A 20,412-nucleotide genomic window follows, 5' to 3' on the forward strand; every position below is an offset into this window, starting at 1 on the left:
TCATTGGCCAATCTAGACAATGAAGCAAAAAGAGAAAATTAATTAAAAAGTGGCATGGAGGAGGATACCTCCAAAGGGGATTATTATAGGGACATTTACTAATAGAACACTCTAAAGCATCAAATATTTCAATTAACCCTCATAACAAGTCCATAAAGTGGGTAACATTATTGTCCCCACTTGAAAGATAGGGAAATGTTATGCAACTAGCCCAAAGCTAAATATGGTAGATCTTGGATTGAACCCATGTCAGTCTGATTCCAGGTTATAGTGTGTTCCTTGGAGTGTGCAACTCTGGGGAAATGTGTAGGAGCAAGAAAACCACAGTAGAATTATGAGGATTTTTCAGCCACTGTAACAAAGCCCCAAGATTATATTTAACCACCGGATATTAAATTCCTGTGGAGTCACTCCATAATACTCCAGCAAGAAATTAGAAAGTCTCTGAAGAAAACAGTATGTCTTAAACCAAGCTATTTCCAATTTCCTCTCAAGCACACAGAAATCCCATATTTCTCAGACCCCTGTCTTCTAGGTAGTAGTGTGTGAATCGAGTAGAGGACTCCAAAGAGACCCTAGAAGATGATGGCACTTAAATTATCACGTGGAAGATCACATGCTTAACATCTGATTCAGATTATGACATGAGTGAGAAATAAATTGTGTTAAGCCACTAAATTTGGGGATTGTATGTTACATTAGCTAGCTTCAATTATGTTGTCTGGCCCAGGCTCCATAAAGCATAGAAGAGAAAACTTGATAAATTACACTGCAACAACTTTCTATGTGAGGAAATTTATGATTTATGATTTATTAGTTGATTTACATGTTAATATTATTCCAGAAAACATTTGACGTGCCAAAGAAAGACACACACTATATAACAAGATAAAATAGATTTTAAATTGAGAAGTAAAGTGAAGCAAAGGTGAATTTAGAAAAGAAGATACAGCCAGGAGTAGGGTACACAAAATACATTCATCGTTTCTACTGAAGATGGATCGCATATTTGGCTCTAAGTTTTCTAGGAACCTAAAGAGGAAATCACAGTGAAGTTCATTATTAACAGTACCCATAGGCAAACAGGCAAAAAAGCAAGTCAGCTACTCGGAAGAAGCCTGTTTATTCTAGTCTAAGACCAGAGAGAAATTTTTCCTATGGGTCCTCATAAAAATGACACTGTGAAGTGTATTGAACCACATCCTTAGGAAAAAAATCCTCACAGTAAATCCATAAATGAGTTTTATAAGTCTGTTATTTATAAAAATCCCTTAGCACAAGTAGGAAAGAAGATGGCCAAGCACAATTCAGGGATAATAATACAGTTTTCGAATGCTGTTCAATGAGGGATGTGAAGAGAACTGGTAATTAAACCTAACCCACTTTGTGTAATAGTTTTATAATTAGCTGACATGTTTAAAACAACTCTTTGTTGAATGCAGTCATAATTTACACAAAGGGCACAGATGTTATTATCAAGTAAATTCCATTTTTTCAAAATTATAAGTCCAAACTGAAAAGCCAAACACAGAAACTGTTATAACACAAATACCTTTTGATGGACTATATGTATTAGTTCATTCTCACACTGCTATAAGAACATACCCAAGACTGTGTAATTTATAAAGGAAAGAGGTTTAATTGACTCACAGTTCCGTAGGGCTGGGGAGGCCACAGGAAACTTACAATCATGGCAGAAAGAGAAGCAAACACATCCTTCTTCACATGGCAGCAGCAAGGAGAAGTGCAGAGTGAAGGGGGGGGGTAAAACCCCTTATAAAACCATCCGATCTCATGAGAACTCACTATCACGAGAACAGCGTGGAGGTAACCACCCCAATGATTCAGTTACCTCCCACAGGGTCCCTCCCACAACACGTGGGGATTATGGGAACTACAGTTCAAGATGAGATTTGCATGGGGACACAGCCAAACCGTATCACTATTTTAACAATGTAGTTGCCAACAAACACATTGTTTAGAGGATCAGAGTGCCTCTCTGTAGTCTCACCCGAATAATAGAAATACAGCAGCAGCTTACATACATTGATCAATAGTATTGGACCTGGTTATAAATCATGATTTTCAGGGAGTTACTTGCACAATTGTTTATATTCAACATATAGAATACAAGAACGTTAGTTCTACTCTCAAATCTCTCCTATATTTATTTTGCTCCTACTCTGGAAAAAGTCTTTCTTTTTAGAACAATGCATCAAATTTATTATAAAAAACCCTTCATCATTTAAATTATGTTTCCCTAAAAAGAATAAATGAAGCTACTTAATCATTTGGTATTCTAGTTATAAAACAAAGCACGAGATACCATAGTAATTTCTTTTTTCTTTTTTTTAAGAGTCTCACTCTGTCGCCCAGGCTGGAGTGCAGTGGCGTGAGATCTCGGCTCACTCCAACCTCCACCTCCCGGGTTCAAGCAATTCTCCTGCCTCAGTCTCCCCAGTAACTGGGACTACAGGCGTGTGCCACCACACCTGGCTAATTTCTTGTATTTTTTTTGTTTTGTTTTTAGTAGAGACTGGGTTTCACCATGTTAGCCAGGATGGTCCCGATCTCCTGACCTCGTGATCCGCCCGCCTCCGCCTCCCAAAGTGCTGGGATTACAGGCGTGAGCCACCGCATCCTGCCTGTATTTTTAGTAGAGATGGGGTTCCACCATCTTGGCCAGGCTGGTCTTGAACTCCTGACCTCATGATCCACCCACCTTGGTCTCACAAAGTGCTGGGATTACAGGCGTGAGCCGCCACACCCCGCCCTACTGTAGCAATTTAACAAGACCTGGTCAAAGCAGTAACAAAGTGTCACAGCAAGTTAAGCTAAAATGGAGATGGAATATAAATATAACGAGACTTGGTGATTTTCAAATTGAGAAATATTAGTTTCTGTGTTTATCTTATAAATATGTATCTACCCATACTTGGTAATTCTCAATGACAAATGGTTGTATTATGAGATGATTCAAGAAAAGTGAACCATTTTTAAACCTAAATTAAGGTAAGACAAATAAGTTGGAATGAAAAACACGAAACACTTTTAAGGGAAAAAATGGTATCCAAAGGTAACGAGACGTTTTTTCACTTTGTTTTTTGTCTGTTGTTTGGTTTAGCTTCTGATATTCTAAATCATTTCACCTTCTCATACTCTCTTGGTACAAACTAAGTCTTGTCAAATCTCCTTGGAGTGGATTTGATATTTGGAAATACCCAGAAGTTATTTTGGAGCCGAGACTGTTGAATAAAGCCATCCTGTAGCATATATATTTTGAAACACTTGGGGAAAAAATAACATTTTTAAAATGTATCGTATAATTGAACATACTTCATTCTCTGACAATTTCTGTCTCCTTGGACATTAATTTATGCAGTTGTGCTAGGTGACAAGCAGAGGTGGATCATAAGGAGGCACTTTTTAGATAAAAACCACAAAGCATTAAAAATAAAACATTAGGTGTTGAAGTGAAGCGGGGGTGGTTACCTCCATGCTGTTCTCGTCATAGTGAGTTCTCATGAGATCTGATGGCTTTATAAGGGGTTTTACCCCCTTTCACTCTGCACTTCTCCTTGCTGCTTCCATGTGAAGGACAAACACACAAAAGTAAAATAATATTTTAATCATTAATTGCCTGATACATTTCTATAAGACAGTTTCCTATAGTTTTTTGTTGCATACCTTTTGATCACCCCTTCATGTGACAATTTTGCAATATCATTTTCTATGGAGAGACTATAAAGAAGATCCATTATTTCTCCTAGCAAGATAGATCAGACTTGGAGCAGGGGAAAGCAAGAAAGAGCCCTGTGGGGATGGATTAAAAATTGAGGTATTGATGAAAGATGTGATTTCTTTTTCTTTTTTATTTTTCCTTTTTTGTTTTTTTTGGTTTTTTTTTTTGAGACAGAGTCTTGCTCTGTTGCCAGGCTGGAGTGCAGTGGCACGATCTCAGCTCACTGCAACCTCTGCCTCCTGGGTTAAAGCGATTCTCCTGCCTCAGTCTCCCAAGTAGCTGGGACTACAGGCGCGTGCCACCACACCCATCTAATTTTTGTATTTTCAGTAGAGACGGGTTTCACCATGTTGGCCAGGATGGTCTCTATCTCTTGACCTCGTGATCCGTCCGCCTTGGCCTCCCAAAGTGCTGAGATAACAGGCATGAGCCACCGCGCCTGGCCAGATATGATTTCTAAAATGTGTATATGCATCTGCATTTTCATGTTTATGTACACGTATATGTTATGTGTACATACATAACTTCTAGGAAGCAAAGGCATCCTAGTAGCAGTGAACATGCAAAACACCCAGCCCTTGATCTTTATTACCATTTACCACTAACAAAAACCAATGAGCATTCTTCATAGAGATTCTGGTTCCCAGGACTGACATAAGGTAGGTATAAATAGGCCAGGAATATCTTGTTATGAAATAAAATAAGAAATATTAAAAAATAAAAAATGATGAGGACACATAACAAACACAGATGGAAGCTTGAAGGGGCTACCAAATCTGGAACACTGTAAGCACTAAAATATTTAAGTAGAGTATTGAATTATAAACCACTTAAAAATTCATTAGTGTTTACCAATAATAAATAGATTAAGTAAATATATAGAGTAGGAAGAAGGTCTTTTTCATATAGTTGAATGTAAAAGGACAGTTAGTAAATATGGAAGGAGTACTGGAGTTGGAAAATCATTATTTCACAACTATTATGGTAATAATCAGGAAATAATAATCAGTGGAGCCTATATCCAAAGGAAATTTTTGTGAGGAGTAAGATATTAGCATGGTCTTAACATGTCTTCCCGTGGGGTACTTATTAGTTGCAAGAGAGAAACAGTAATTGCACAGTGGAAAAGTCAAACAACATCTTGACTACATTGTGAACATTAATGTCACCAATGAGGAACAGATGGACATACTGTGCCTCTGCATGTGATGCCCTAAAATGACACGAGATCACCTATGCAGCATTTGCCCAAGAACACATAGTCTCAGTCTACTCCTAAGGAAACGCTGGACAAACACAAAATGAGGAATGTTCTGTGTTTTTCAAAATGTAGAGACGGGCTGTATTACTCAGACATGTTAGTTTCTTAAGAGACAAATAAAGGCTATGGAAATTGTATTAGTCTGTTTTCACACTGCTATAAAGAACTGCCCAAGACTGGGTCATTTATAAAGAAAAAAGATTTAATTGACTCACAGTTACACATGGCTAGGGAGGCCTCTGGAAACTTAAAGTAATGGCATAAGGGGAAGCAGACACATCTTACATGGCGGCAGGTGAGAGAGAGAAGAGCGGGTGAAGGAGGAACTGTCAAACACTTATAAAGCTATCAGATCTCATGAGAACTCACTCACTATCACGAGAACAACATGAAGGAAATGGTCCCCATAATCCAGTCACCTCCCTCCCTCGACATGTGGGGATTACAGGTCCCTCCCTCAAAACATGAGGATTACAATTCAAGATGAGATTTGGGTGGGGACACGGAGCAAAATCATATCAAAAATGCTCCAGCTTATAGAAGACTAAGGAGATAAAGAGATATAATGGCTAAATGCAGTATTTGTCTCTAGACATTATTAGTAGATCTGCTAACAAAACTGGAATATGCATAGATAAAAATATTATATCAGTATAAATTCATCAGGTTGATACTGCACTGTAGTTATATAAGAGAATAGCCCTATTCTTAGGAAATACAAACAGAAGTACTTAGGGGTCAAGTGGTACAATGTAAGTTAGGCTCAAACCACTCAGAAAAAAAAATAGGTATAGAGAAAGAAAAAGTACAAATGTTAAAGAAAATAAAATAAAGTTTTTTAAATAGGCAAATCTAGCTAAAGAATATATAAATGTTTCTTGTACTAATTTTATTTAAGCAACTTTATTTGTGCAAGTTTGAAATTATTTCCTAATATTTTAAAATAATTAAATTTTATTATTATATTTAAATATCTATACATTTCCATTAAGTATAAGTTAATATTTATAAGTTCATATATAAAAATAAGTATATTTTATACATTTTATATATATTCTAAATATATTAAATTATTTCCAAATCAATATAGTGTGAATGTTTGTCTCCTCTAAATCTCATGTTGACATATGGTTCTCAGTGTTGGAGGTGGGGCCTAATGAGAGGTGATTGGATGATATGGGCTGATCCCTCATGAATGGTTTAGCACTATCCCCTTAGGGATGTCAGTTCTTGCTCAGTTAGTTCACACAAGATCTGTATTTTTAGAAAAGTCTGGCACCTACCCTTTCTCTCTCTTTCTCTCATTTTTGTCATGTGATGGGCCTACTCTCCCTTTGCCTTCTGCCATAATTATAAGCTCCCTGAGGCCCTTACAAGAAGCAGATGCTGGTGCCATGTTTCCTGTACAGCCTACAGAACTGTAAGCCAATTAAGTCTCTTTTCTTTATAAATTACCCAGTTTCAGGTATTTCTTTATAGCAGAGCAAAAACGACCTAACGCACAAATATTTTTAAATAAAAATTTTTTTGTATAAATTTAGGGAGCATAAGTGCAGTTTTGATACATGGTTATATTGCATAGTGGTGAAGTCTGAGTTTAGTGTAACCATCACCTGAATAGTGTACATTACACACATTAAGTAATTTTTCATCCTTTACCCACTTCCCACATGTATGTTTTTAAGTTTCCAATGTCTATTATTCCACAATCTATGTCCATGTGTATATATTACTTAACTCCCACTTATAAGTGAAAACATGTGGCATTTGACTTTCTGTTTCTGAGTTATTTCACTTAAGATAATGGCCTCTAATTCCACTGATGTTGCTGCAAAGGATACGATTTTATTCTTTTAAAATAAATAAGTAGTATTCCTAAAGCATTCATTCATATATACATATGAATATACATATATATTCATATGTATATATATATATATATAGACACATTTTCATTATCCAATCACCCACTAATGGACACTTAGATTGATTCCCTCATCTTTGCTATTGTGAATAGTGCTGCGATAAACATATGAGCACAGGTATCTTTCTGAAATCATGATTTACTTTCCTTTCGTTAGATATTCAGTCGTGGGATTCCTGGATCAAATGGCAGTTCTACTTTTAGTTCTTTGAGAAACCTCCATAATGTTTTTCATAGAAGTTGTACTAATTTACATTTCCACCAACAGTGCATAAGCGTTCCTTTTCTCTGCATCCTCACTAATATCTGTTGTTGTTTGACTTTTTTAATAACAACAATTCTGACTGGTGTAAGGTAATATCCCACTGTGGTTTTAATTTGCATTTATCTGATGATTAGTAATGACCATTTTTTCATGTGCTTGTTGGTTATTTGTATGTCTTCTTTTGAAAAAAAAATGCCTATTTATGTCCTTTGCCCACTTTTGATGAGTTTTGGGAGTTTTGTCTTGTTGAGTTGTTTGAGTTCTTTGTAACTTTTGGATCTCAGGCTCCTAAGGGACGCATTGTTTGCAAATATTTTCTCCCAGTTTGCAAGTTGTCTGTTCACTCTATTGATTATTATTCATCGCAGTGCTGAAGCTTTTTAGTTTAATTAAGTCCCATTTGTCTTATTTTAGATTTGTTTCTTGTGCTTTTGAATTCTTAGTCATGAATTCTTTGCCAAGGCCAATGTGCAGAAGAGTTTTTCCAAAATTTTCTTCTAGTATTTTCATAGTTGGGGTCTTTTAAGTCTTTAACCTATTTTTTAGTTAATTTTTGTATATGATAAGAGATATGGGTCCAGTTTCATTCTTCCGCATATAGATATCCAATTTTCCCAGCACCATTTATTGAATAGGGTTTGATTTCCCTGGTGTATGTTTTTGTTGACTTTGTTGAAGATCAGTTGTCTGTAGTTATGTGGCTTCATTTCTGGGTTCTCTATTCTATTCCATTGATCTATCTATTTTTATCCAAGCACCATGCTGTTTTGGTTACTATAGGCTTGTAGTATAATTTGAAGTCAGAAAATATGACACCTTCAACTTTGTTCTTTTTGCTTAGGATTGCTTAGGCCATTCAGGCTCCCTTTTGGTTACCTATGAAATTTAGGATTGTGTTTTCTAATTCTGTGAAAAATTATGTTGCTAGTTTGACAGGGACTGCATTGAATCTGTATATTGCTTTGGGCAGTATGGTCATTTTAATAATATGAATTCTTCTGATCCATGAGCATGGGATGTGTTTCCACTTTTTTGTGTTGACTACAATGTCTTTCTTCAGTGTTTCATAATTTTATTTGAAACTTTCTTAATTAAATATATTCCTATGTATTCTATTCTTCTTAGAGCTATTGTAAATGGGATTCAGTTCTTGATTTACTTCTTGGCTTCTTGGCTTGATCATTATTGGTGTGTATGAGACACTGCTGATTTTTATATGCTGATTTTGTATCCTAAAACTTTACTGAATTCATTTATCAAGTATAGGAATCTTTTTAGGGTTTTCTAGGTATAACATTATATCATCAGAAAACAGAGATAATTTGATTTCTTATTTTCCAATTTGAATGCCTTTCATTTCTCTCTTTTCTGATTGCTCTGGCTAGGACTGCTAGTTCTGTGTTGAATAAGAGTGGTGAAAGGGGGCATTCTTGTCTTCTTCCAGACCTTAGAAAGAATGTTTTCAGCTTTTCTTCATTCATTATGATGTTACCTGTGGGTTTGTCATATATGGTTTTTATTATTTTGAGGTATGGTCCTTGTATTCCTAATTTGTTAAAGGTTTTTATCCTGAAGAGATACTGAATTTTATCAGATGCTTTTTCTGCATTGAGATGATCATGTGGTTTTTATTTTTAATTCTGTTTATGTGGTAAATCACATTTATTGATTTGCATATGTTGAACCATCTTTGAATTTCTGGAATAAATTCCACTTAATCTTGCTGTATTTTTTGATGTTCTATTGAATTCCATTTGCTAGTATGTTTTTGAGGATTGTCGCATCTATGATCATCAGGGATATTGGTGTGTGGTTTTCTTATTTTGTTGTGTCCTTGTTTAGCTTTGGTATCATGGTGATACTGGCTTCGTAGAATGAGTTAGGGAGAATTCCCTCCTTCTAAATTTTTAAGTAGAAATAATAACAAAAGGATAATCCAGGCATTTCTCACTCCCTTCTAGTAGTAGAAAAGCACCATAAATGTGGTAGGGTCTAGTATCCCCCTGCCAAAGAGATTCAACCCCAGGCCAGCTAAGTAGCTGAGAGAGGATAAGAATGAGGCAGCCAGCATGCAATTATCCCATTGCAATCTCAAGCCCTGGCAGATTTAACTTTTCTGAGGAAAATATTTCCAAAGGTGGATTTGATTAATGTTTGCAAAACCAATGACTTCAAGTCTCCTAGAAGACAATTTAGATGTGTTAGAAGCACAAGTTCAGAGCCCTGGTGTTAGTCAACGATCACAAGACCTGGCAGTCTGCCCTGCCATTCTACCACCCAGCCATGCTGTCTCTGGAACCTGAAGAACAGTCCAACTCTAATTCTCTCTGCAATCTGAGAGATCTGTTCAGCGTAAGGCAGCAGAAGATGAAGCTTTAAGTCATGAAGAGCCTACATACACTGTATTAGTGTGTTCTCATGCTGCTAATAAAGACATACCTGAGACTGGATAATTTCTAAAGAAAAGATGTTTCATTGACTCATAGTTCAGCATGGCTGAGGAGGCCTCAGGAAACTTACAATCATGGTGGAAGGCAAAGGAGAAGCAAGGCACCTTCTTCACAAGGCAGCAGGAAGGAGAAGTGCAAGCAGAGGAAATGCCAGATGCTTATAAAACCATCGGATCTCATGAGAACTCACTCACTATCAGGAGAATAGCATGGGGGAAACCACCCCCATGATTCAATGACCTCCCACCAGGTCCCTCCCACAACATATGGGGATTATGGGGATTACAATTCAAGATGACATTTGGGTGGGGACAGAGTGAAACCATATCTCACACACACATGCACACACACACACAATTGAATCCATATATAATCATGTATAAACTGAACTCTCACCTGCCTTCCCTTAGGCTATGAGCAACCCGTCTTCCAAGCAATTCATTTAGACCACGGTATGCAATGATTAGGAGCAGAAACTTTGAAATCAGATAAACCTTGGTTTAACTTCCAGTTTTGCTACTTATTAGCTGTTGATGCTCAAAGCAAGTTATTTAGACTCATTAGCCTCAATTGCTTCTTCCATAAAATAGTAATGATAACAATAGTAATAGCTCCTTCATAGGATTATTATGAAGATTAAATGAGATCTTATATGTAAAGTCTATGGTAAGAACTGGATGTTAGTTTTTATTAATGAATATTAAAAGTTTAAGTAGAATTAAGGACACAGTGAGCCACTGAAAAAATATGTATTTTGCACCAGGGACCACTTTGTTGAAGAAACACTGAACCACTTTCTATTATTATGAAGATTAAATGAGATCTTATATGTAAAGGCTATGGTAAGAACTGGGTGTTAGTTTTTATTAATGAATTTTAAAAGTTTAAGTAGAATTAAGAACACACTGAACCACTGAAAAAATATGTGTTTTGCACCAGGGACCACTTTGTTGAAGAAACACTGAACCACTTTGTATTGAATACATTATTTATCCATCTATTCATGAAACAAAAATTTATTGAGTACTTACTATATGAGAGGATAAAATGACAAAACACTGTCCTTTTTTTTAAAAAAAAAAAGCATATGGTAAGGAGATAGATACATACATAACTAATTACAATGCATGATATTACTAACATAAGAGTATTATAAATTAAATTCTAGGTGACCTTGAAGGAAAGATAAATTGATTTCTTTTAAGGGTTTTAGGAAGGCTTCTTAGAGAAAGTGACATGGATGTAGAATTTTGAAGTCAACAATAGGAAAAAGAGGAAGGAAGCGAGGGCATTTTATAAAGAAGAAACAATATAAAGAGTTAAACATATATTATAGTTTTTTGATCAGTAAGTAAGGATTTTTGCAAAACTTTCTCTTTCAGTGAGTCATCAATAAATCATTCAGAAGACTCACAGAATATTTCACAACCCTAATTTCTTCAGAAGAATCTCATTTTCTCCTTTTCCTGAAGCCAGGCTCCCCCTCAACCCTTTCCCCAACAAACATAAAATTTCAAATAGATGTTAACACAGAGCCCTGATTCTAATGCTACAGTAGCGAGAAGTTATAAAAACTTAAAAAGAAACTTGTTAACTTGAGTTTTGCAACATAGGATGGAAACATGTAATTTATTCACTAAACAATTTATTTTTTAAAAAAAACTTCAACCTAGTCCTTAAAAATCTAACATAGCAGCTGTTGAGAAAAATGACAAATATTGTACTTTAATTTTTGGATATACTGTTCTATACAATATTGAGAAAATGACAAATATTGTACTTTAGTTTTTGGATATACTGTTTTATATAACGGAATTTCAGTCTCTAAAGCCTCAAGTGGATCTAGAAAGTACATTGCTCATTCTTTGATATACACCCTACTCACTACTTAAAATAATTGGATTTTATTTTTAAGATATAATGCTGAAGTAAACCTCATGTCTCTAAAGACACTTTCTATTTTGTACCCATCAATTCATGAAATGTCTCATTTCTCTTTAAATGCACTTTATAGTGAAAGAGTATCATACTGAATCCAAAGTTGCTCTAGAATTATTCACATTTTTCTTGCCAGCTATTATGACATGAATATAAATTGTTAGGCTACTTGTATAAGAAAAAATAAAACATATCTGTTCCAGGTTTATACTCCCGTATAACAAACTACCCCAAAACTTAGTGACTCAAGGAAACAATTTACTATTTTCTCTTACAATTCTGGGGGCTAATGGGCTCAGTTGGGCAGTTCTTGTTTAACAAGCTTCATAAAGTTGCAGGCAAATATAGCTGTGGCTAAAGTCACCTGAAGGCACCTTTACAAATATATCTGATGCCTGGGCTGGGATGGCAAGAATAGCTGGGTGCTGGTAAGTCTGTCCCTTTCCCTGTCTCCCTCTCCCTACTTACCCTCTCCTTCTCCTTGTCCTTCTTCCCTCTTCTTCCCTCTCCCCTTCTGCACATAGCCTACCCCCAACCCCTGCCCCTGGTAATGTGGCTTCTCCATATAGTTAGTTTGGTTTTCCTCTTAGTCCTGAAAGTCTCTGGATAGTTAGACTTCTCACATGGTATTTGACTTCTCCCAAGAAAACATTCCAAGTTGCTAAAGAGAAGCTGCAAGGCTTTTGATGAGCTAGCCTCAGAAGTCTCAGAATGTCACTCTGTTGCATTCTATTGGTCAATCCGGTCACTAAGGTCAAGAAAAGGGATGTTAGACCCCACCACTCAATAGAAAGAATTTCCAAAAAATTGTGGCCATCTTTAATTTCCTACGATGCCTACACAAAAATGGAATATTGCTAGATTTATTTAAACTTTTTCTTCCTTCTTTAGTGAATTTGAAAGAGACCAAAATTAGCATAAAACTCCTAAACTCAGACTACATTCATTAGTTAACTAATTTATTAATTGCTTTCTACTTAGTAATTAAGAAAAAACCATATAGCAACTAGTATAAAATTTTATTTTGTGCTCAGTGTGGCTTATTGACAAAAATATTCTTTAGAAAATATTTTGAAATAATTCTCAAGAGTGTGCTCTATAGGTGGTATCTAGCCACTAATACAAAAGTCAGTAATCTGCCAAGAATGAGTGATCTCAGCCACTTTGAATCCCACTTCAATTTACCTCCTAACTTATCAGTAGCATCAAAAAGCTGCAAAGTGCATTTCTGAGTGTCTAGCATTCTCTAGAATATGCCAGCTGCTACACCACCTTCAAATGGAACCACTCTACCTCCCATACTTTCAATGTTTTGGCATGTTTGGCACATCCATCTTCATTATAGCTGAAGAACTATCACAGAAACATGACTCCAGAGAAAGATATATTTGAAGCAAAGATAATATTTTACATGATACAGCCAAATTCTCATCTACAGATTGGTAATGAGAAACTGTTTTCCTCATGGCATCTAGAAGAAAGGCTAATTTCCTTAAATAGAACAGCTGTGTTACTTCTAGTTCTCTCTTTGTTGCTCCATAAAAAACTACCCCAAACTTAATGACTTGAAAAAACAACCATTTTATTATACCACACAAATCTCTAGAACAACATTTTGGGTAGGAGTCAACTAGACAACTCTGCTCCACACAGCAGTGACTGTGGTCACTCAGCAATATTCAGCTGAGGGCGGGGCTGGGCTGAAGTGTCCAAGATAGCTTCACTCACATGCCCGGCACTTGAGTGTAACCACCACCCTCCCCCATATTTACATAGGTATAAACTTTTTTTTTTTTTTTTTTTGAGATGGAGTCTCGCTCTGTCGCCCAGGCTGGAGTGCAGTGGTGTGATCTCGGCTCACTGCACGCTCTGCCTCCCGGGTTCACACCATTCTCCTGCCCCCGCCTCCCAAGTAGCTGGGACTACAGGCGCCCGACACCACGCCCGGCTAATTTTTTGTATTTTTAGTAGAGACGGGGTTTCACCGTGTTAGCCAGGATGGTCTCAATCTCCTGACCTCGTGATCCGCCTGCCTTGGCCTCCCAAAGTGCTGGGATTACAGGCGTGAGCCACCGCGCCCGGCCAAACATATTTTTTTTTTTTGTATTTAACTTACCACAAAGCCCATGAGAAGGCAGACAGTTCTGAAACCATATTCTGGAATCTCTGCCCTGCAGGTCCCTAAAGAGTTAACTCAAAGCCAGATACCCAATGGAGGCTCAATTAATGTGAATTAGAAGCAACAATGAACCAAATCCACAGATAACATTACTCACACTAGATTGAAAAGTGTAATCTAGAAATATTAAGTGTGAAAAAGTTTCTCAATTATAGTTAAATCAGAATTCTTTAATATGTAAAGGCAGTGAACGGAATGTTAAAAAAAAATGGAATGTCACATAACTTCTATAAATTAGGTGGTAGAGGACACCAGTTATGATGCATTTCATGAACCCCTACTCAAAAAGAAGCTACTTGTTGAAACAAAATATGAATTTAAGTGTTTTTTTTAAGTGTTTTTTTGGGGGGGAGGGGCATGGTTGTTCTCTTCCAAAAACTGAAAAAAAAAAAAAAAAAAAAGACGAAAAGAGCATATATGTTATGCCCTTTTCAAAGCAAACCTTAGGTCTTATTGGAATTGTTTCCTAATGCTATATAAATGAGACACGTGAGGCAATATACACTCCCCCACAGATGAATAACATAACATTTAGGTTACCAGGGCCTTTCACAATCTAACCTAACACCACTTTCCCAGGTTCATTTATCACTGGTTTCTTCTCAATACCTTCTGGTCAAAGACCACCAGAAGCACACATGTAATTGACAAACGGGGTTTATTATTCATTGCAGTAAGGGTTCTCTGTAAAATATTAGAAAATGCTTATTGGATTTGGGATTTTTTTCTCCTAATATTGGCTACCTTACCAAATCTTAGGAGGAAGAAAGGCTAGATCAAGGCTAAGATTGTAATTGGTAAAGAAGCAGAAGTCATCAAATTAAACCAGATAGGGTGATGTCCGGTCATTTTCGTGGCTTGGACAATGTTTTATCTGTGTTCAGATGTGATTACACAGTGATCATATTCTTTTCTTAATGAACACTGTCAGAGTGGTCTTGTTGGATGCTAATGCTTGCTGAAATTGTGTACGTTCATCAGGCGGACACCAGTTCCTAGTCCAGGCTAGCTCCAGGTGTCAGAGGCCACTTTTCCCTTCTACTCCTCACACATGCTGTACTCATACCAGACTTGAGTTTTCCCTGCCCTTTGTTCTTCCTTCTTTTTTATTCGATTCCCATTATCTTTAGTGATCATTCCCTTAGCATTTCAGTTTTCTCTCTGAAGTCCTTTGTGCTGCACGTTGTTTGATTACTTGTGTTTATGCTTTGTTTCTTCAGCTAGGATCATTAGCACATATCTCTCAGCATTGGCAAAAGTCCTCGAAATCATTGACACCTAGCATATACTTTATTTTTAAAAAAGAAAGAAAGAAGAGAAAAGGGATGGGTTTATTGTCCTTTTCAACAGACTAGAGTATACGGGGTGAAACTGCTTCACTTGATTCAATAAAATCGTTTCCGGTAACAGGCCCCAGGAATCCTAGACCTAAGCCTGGCGCGAAACTACATTTCCCACAATCCTTCGGGGGCTGATAAGGCTCCGCAATGGTCTGAACTACAATTCCCACAATCCAGGGCGATTTCCGCTTTGTCGCGTTTCCTCAAGGCTCCGCCCCATTTCCCATCTTTCTTTTCAGTCCTTGCGCACCGGGGAACAAGGTCGTGAAAAAAAAGGTCTTGGTGAGGTGCCGCCATTTCATCTGTCCTCATTCTCTGCGCCTTTCGCAGAGCTTCCAGCAGCGGTATGTTGGGCCAGAGCATCCGGAGGTTCACAACCTCTGTGGTCCGTAGGAGCCACTATGAGGAGGGCCCTGGGAAGGTTAGTGTGTAAGGGGCACGGCTTCGTTGGGGGAGGGGGCGCTTGGCTGTGACTCGCGCACCTGCAAGGCCGCCTCCGGGCTGTGGCGTGGGAGATGATAGCCAGAAACCAGGCTGAGACGCAGACTAGCATTCCACTTAGCCCAAGGACCAGTGAGGAAGCTGGGCATCCTAGCGCGTAGCCGCTAAAGGAATGGGCAGGTAGATCCGGAAGCCCTGCCTCCATCAGCCACCTGACGCCCCCTCCCCCGCCCCGCAGAAAGCCCTGAGATGGCTCCGGGAGGCCACGGCTGTAGGTGTGTTGGTTAAATCCGAGCTGGAGGTCATCGGACCCGAAATGAAGGTCATTGGAAAATCATGAGGAAATCAGGGCCTCTGGTTATGGAACAGGCTTTTTAAACTAGCTGCCTAAGTTAGAAGTACTAACCCTTCACCTCAGTTAAGGCTGGGTTTGGCCTCAGGTGTAAATAACTTAAACCACATAGCAGTAACAATCTCGGAGGGTCACACGAGGCCTAGTCATAAAGGCCAGAGAAGGTGCTTGGTAATGAAAAACAAACAAACAAAAAAAACTGTGGGCCAGGTGCGGTGGCGCACGCCTGTAATCGGGAGGCTAAGGCGTTCGGATCACCTGAGGTCAGGAGTTCCAGACCAGCCTGGCCAACATGGCGAAACCCTGTCTCTACTAAAAAGTACAAAAAAATTAGCCGGACGTGGTGGTGTGTGCCTCTAATCCCAGCTACTCGGGAGGCTGAGGCAGGAGAATCGCTTGAACCCGGGAGGTGGAGGTTGCAGTGAGCCGAGATCGGGCCACTGCACTCCAGCCTGGACAGAGCGGGACTCCGTCTCAAAAAAAAAAAAAAAGAAAAAAAAAGAGCTGTATTGCACTTAACATTGCCATGTATCTTCTAAGGTGACTACTTAGGACAGTAGTTTTTTCGATTTTCTAAAGTAAGAAACTTCTCACTATTTGACGTTTGAGTCCTCAAGACCATTCATTGCCTAGTGCTTAGTAAAGCCAGATTATTTCTTGCCATGTAGTGTTTTGTGATGAAGGTCATAGGATTTGAAAGATAAATGTTTAAAACGATGTTATGATTTATGGCATATGTTAACCTGATGATGTAAAATATAACTAGCATTTCCTGTATACTTGTATTTTGATTATTAAGCAGATGATTTGAGATTCAATTTCGATTACTTTTTCTCTTTTTTTCCAACAGAATTTGCCATTTTCAGTGGAAAACAAGTGGTCGTTACTAGCTAAGATGTGTTTGTACTTTGGATCTGCATTTGCTACACCCTTCCTTGTAGTAAGACACCAACTGCTTAAAACATAAGGATGTTTCAGTTCCTCCATTTAACAGGTAGTTAGTGGATTTCTAATCATGTTAAAGCAGGCCTTTTTATTAAGTAGCCTCTTCCCCATCACCCAGAACACACACACAAATACATTGTTGTGTAGGGCTGATTCCTGAGGTTATGTGTAGATGTGGCATTGGTGGAGACTAGTTGTAAACCTATATAAAAATATTTCAATAATGGCCAGTGTTTATTGAATACTACTGCTTATCAGGTACACTTTACATCGATATCTCATGTTCTCTAGCAAGCTTGTGAGGCGGATGATAGTAACCCCATCTGAGACACAGAGATGTTAAGTTGTTCAACATCTCATAACTAGTATAATGGTGGACCAGGACTCTTGCCCAGGCAGTTTCTTGTTGCAGAACTCACACTTTTAACCAGGTAAAACTGATAAACTGATTAATGTTACTCTATCTTGAACACTGTTACTAGAACAGTAGCTGAGAATGTGTCTTTTAAAACACTATAAACATTTCCATTTCTTTTAGAAAGTGGTCACTGTGCTCCTAGTTTTTAAATTGGCTTACAATACTTGTTTAAGTTGTGAAAAATCCCTGAAGATAAAACCCTTCTAGTGCTCCTTGATACATAAGTCCCAGATAATTATGCAATTGTAAATCTGTGCCTCACCAACTCAGCCATGTTGGGAAACTCAAACTTTTAAATATACTTTCCTCATTAAGGCAGTGGTTCTTAAATGAGGATGATTTTACAACACAATGGGGCATTTGGCAATGTGAGACATTTTTGATCGTTCCAACTTGGGGGCAAAATTACCAGTGGTGCTGAGGTTGAGAAGCCTTGTGTCAAGGGGATATGTTAATATATGCTCAAAGGAGTCGTTCATATTGGAAGGTTAGCAGATTTGCTGTGTGTGGATAAAATATTTAGCTTAATTGTCATCAGAGTTTCTCAGAGTAATACTATAGAACACTAGGATGATTGGAAAGAGTGTCATAGTTTAGAGGGGGAATAACTTATCCAAGCTACTAATGCGGAAAGGTTGCGGTGCATGTGATGAAGCAAATCAGTATGAATGAATTCATGATACTGTAAACGCTTTCTGATGTACTACTCAAACTGATAGAAAATATTTTCATGAAACTACATGATTTCTGTTAAATGAATGGGATTTTTAAAATGCCATTAATTTCTGTTTTTATTTTGCAGATATGAAGAGCATTTTAAGAGGTGCAGCCTCTGGAAGTGGATCAAACTAGAACTCATATGCCATACTAGATATGTTTGTCAATAAACTTATGACGTGAATGCTTAATGCCTCTTTTTTGAAATAGGGAATGTAATAATTGGCCATTTGCCTACTTTATTATTTGGGTAACATTCCAGTATTACTCTCTGTGATTTAGCTTATTTAATGGTGTTAAACTGAGGTTATATTAAATTTTTGATTCCCAGGTCAGGATTTTGTTGGTAATTTATATAATAAAAGGGAAATACAAATCGATCTTAGGTTTATTTCTATGATTTTTTTTTTTATCGTTAACTTGGAAAAAATACTTTTGCTCTTGCCCTTTGACATAGTAAATTTTTTTTCCCATGATTGATTAATCATCAAGAAAACTTAATTTATTCAAATTGAAGTTGTGGTTAATCAGATATTTAGGAGCTTCATTTTTGTTTTTTTTCCTCTAGGTCTGTAACCTAAAACAGAAGTGTTTGCCTCAGTAAGTGTTTTGGTGACCAGTATTGGTCTTATTTAGAATGAATAAAAGAATATTTGAAATTGAATATAATACCATGAAATTTGTAGTATAGGAAGTACTCCCAATTTATTCTGGTGCTTTGACTATCATATAGCCTAGCAGAAATGGGATAAAAGGTAGTTCTGATTAGTAATTGTATATGTGAATCGAATTTATTTTGTAAGTAGTGAAATGCTGCTTGCCATTTAAAATGTAATGAGGTCATTACATTTTAGGACTTTGTGTAAGATGTGGGACAGTAACTAGCTACTGAGTATTTTCCTCTGCTCACTGTTGGAATACCAGTGATGTTAAAATGCTGTAAAACACTCCAAACTGGTAGTCTGTTTGGCCTCTAGACTTTGGTGAAAGGGTGATGCTCTTTTTAAATCAACATTTAAAAAACAGTATTTCCATAAAAGTGTATTTCTGGATTTTTGAAAAATTGTTCTGAGTGGTTCTATATCTCTTCATTGAAGAAAATAGCTGTGTAGGCCACTCCCCACTATATCATTAGATTTCTTATATGGCCCTTCTGTACAACTACTGATTTGCTAAAAACTTAACATTTTGATATTTTTGTTTCTCGACTACTGCCTCACTTTAGGCTCTTCAACAGTCACCTGACAACTGCTTAATTATGGTGCAACCTTAATTTATATGACTTTGCTCATATATCCCCTGTACTTGTATGTCATTGTTTTTTGATTATTCAGTGATAAATCAGGTATCCTGTATTGAGAGAGTTCCTTGTATGGAACATAAAGGTTTTTTATCTTTGGAAAAAGTTGAAGCGGCCAGGCATGATGGCTCATGCCTGTAATCCCAGCACTTTGGGAGGCCAAGGCGCACGGATCACGAGGTCAAGAGATCAAGACCATCCTGGCCAACATGGTGAAACCCCGTCTCTACTAAAAATACAAAAAAACTAGCTGGGAATGGTGGCATGTGCCTGTAGTACCAGCTACTCAGGAGGCTGAGGCAGGAGAATCACTTGAACCTGGGAGGCGGAGGTTGCATTGGGCTGCGAACATGCCATCGCACTCCAGCCTGGGTGATGGAGCGATACTCCGTCTCAAAGTAGAAGCAAGAGTAAGAGTTTAAGGTTCGTTAGATGATTTTGGTTTTCCTGGAAATTATGGTAAGGCTTACCTCACTGGATTGTTTTTGAGATCCAGTAAGTTATATAAAAACTTCTCACAAGTCCTAAATGAATATGAATTTTTTGGAGAGGATGTTCAAATATATATTAGGAATCAATAGTAACAGTTATGGGTAGCTAGGTCTAGCTAGAAAAGTATTTGAGGGATATATGTGAGTGAGAAAAAAACCTCCTCTGCCTGTCTTGTAATAGTACAGATTGTGCCATCCCCATAAAAAGCCTTCAGCAGGCTGGCTGTAAGTGCGTAAGTTTATTGTAAGTGGTAGAGGGTGTATAACTGCTTAGTTTCTGTGTTAGGGTTCTCTAGACAAGCAGATCAAGAGGATGCACATAGAAAAAATTAAAATTGTCATCTGATTCTGGAGGCTTGGGTTGAAAATATGGGTATGCCCGCGGGCTGGAGACTCGGCAAAGGCAGTCGCTGTCAGAATTCCTCCTTGCGGGAGGACCTCCTTGTGGTCAGTCTTTGTTCATTAAGATCTTCAACGAATTCAAGAAGCTTAGCCACATAAGGAGGATCAGCTTTACTCCAAGTCCACTGACTTAAATGGTAAACTCATGATAATTCAAGAAACACCTTCACAGAAATATCTAGAGGATTGTTGATCCAAATATTTGAGCACTGTGTCCTTGCCAAGTTGACACAAAATTAACCATAAC

General features: G+C 37.6%; 1 protein-coding gene and 1 non-coding gene across 2 annotated transcripts, besides 5 other annotated features; both read left to right on the forward strand.

Annotated features, from left to right (window-relative positions):
- Positions 14,999 to 15,078: an enhancer, noted in NCBI's record as "active region_22744". NCBI's record gives its function as "activates an Ori minimal core promoter by ATAC-STARR-seq in GM12878 lymphoblastoid cells {active_cell/tissue: GM12878}" and the evidence as "EXISTENCE:reporter gene assay evidence [ECO:0000049][PMID:35858748]".
- Positions 15,090 to 15,755: an enhancer, noted in NCBI's record as "NANOG-H3K27ac-H3K4me1 hESC enhancer chr5:85913517-85914182 (GRCh37/hg19 assembly coordinates)". NCBI's record gives its function as "activates a minimal SCP1, AML or CMV promoter by ChIP-STARR-seq in primed H9 embryonic stem cells {active_cell/tissue: H9 hESC(primed)}" and the evidence as "EXISTENCE:reporter gene assay evidence [ECO:0000049][PMID:30033119]".
- Positions 15,142 to 15,436: an enhancer, noted in NCBI's record as "tiled region #5947; HepG2 Activating DNase unmatched - State 1:Tss, and K562 Activating DNase unmatched - State 1:Tss". NCBI's record gives its function as "activates a minimal TATA promoter and a strong SV40 promoter by Sharpr-MPRA in HepG2 and K562 cells {active_cell/tissue: HepG2 | K562}" and the evidence as "EXISTENCE:reporter gene assay evidence [ECO:0000049][PMID:27701403]".
- COX7C (cytochrome c oxidase subunit 7C) lies at positions 15,331 to 18,352 on the forward strand. Its single transcript, NM_001867.3, has 3 exons — positions 15,331 to 15,520; positions 16,743 to 16,886; positions 18,058 to 18,352. Exons 1-2 carry the CDS (start codon positions 15,446 to 15,448, stop codon positions 16,857 to 16,859), a joined length of 192 nt encoding a protein of 63 aa, NP_001858.1. The 5' UTR covers positions 15,331 to 15,445; the 3' UTR covers positions 16,860 to 16,886; positions 18,058 to 18,352.
- Positions 15,369 to 15,458: an enhancer, noted in NCBI's record as "active region_22745". NCBI's record gives its function as "activates an Ori minimal core promoter by ATAC-STARR-seq in GM12878 lymphoblastoid cells {active_cell/tissue: GM12878}" and the evidence as "EXISTENCE:reporter gene assay evidence [ECO:0000049][PMID:35858748]".
- Positions 15,756 to 16,421: an enhancer, noted in NCBI's record as "NANOG-H3K27ac-H3K4me1 hESC enhancer chr5:85914183-85914848 (GRCh37/hg19 assembly coordinates)". NCBI's record gives its function as "activates a minimal SCP1, AML or CMV promoter by ChIP-STARR-seq in primed H9 embryonic stem cells {active_cell/tissue: H9 hESC(primed)}" and the evidence as "EXISTENCE:reporter gene assay evidence [ECO:0000049][PMID:30033119]".
- Positions 17,896 to 17,958, forward strand: SNORD138 (small nucleolar RNA, C/D box 138). Its single transcript, NR_145802.2, has one exon. It is a non-coding gene; the product is annotated as a small nucleolar RNA, C/D box 138 (small nucleolar RNA).
- Positions 18,353 to 20,412: the final 2,060 nt, after the last annotated feature.

Source organism: Homo sapiens, chromosome 5 (genome assembly GCF_000001405.40).
Source record: "Homo sapiens chromosome 5, GRCh38.p14 Primary Assembly".
NCBI classification, from domain to species: domain Eukaryota; kingdom Metazoa; phylum Chordata; class Mammalia; order Primates; family Hominidae; genus Homo; species Homo sapiens.

Excerpts from the sequence above, each read along its gene's own strand:
- COX7C (NM_001867.3), top strand. The coding sequence starts at position 15,446 with ATGTTGGGCCAGAGCATCCGGAGGTTCACAACCTCTGTGGTCCGTAGG. Across the intron at positions 15,521-16,742 it reads ATGAGGAGGGCCCTGGGAAG|AATTTGCCATTTTCAGTGGA; the intron begins GTTAGTGTGTAA and ends TTTTTCCAACAG.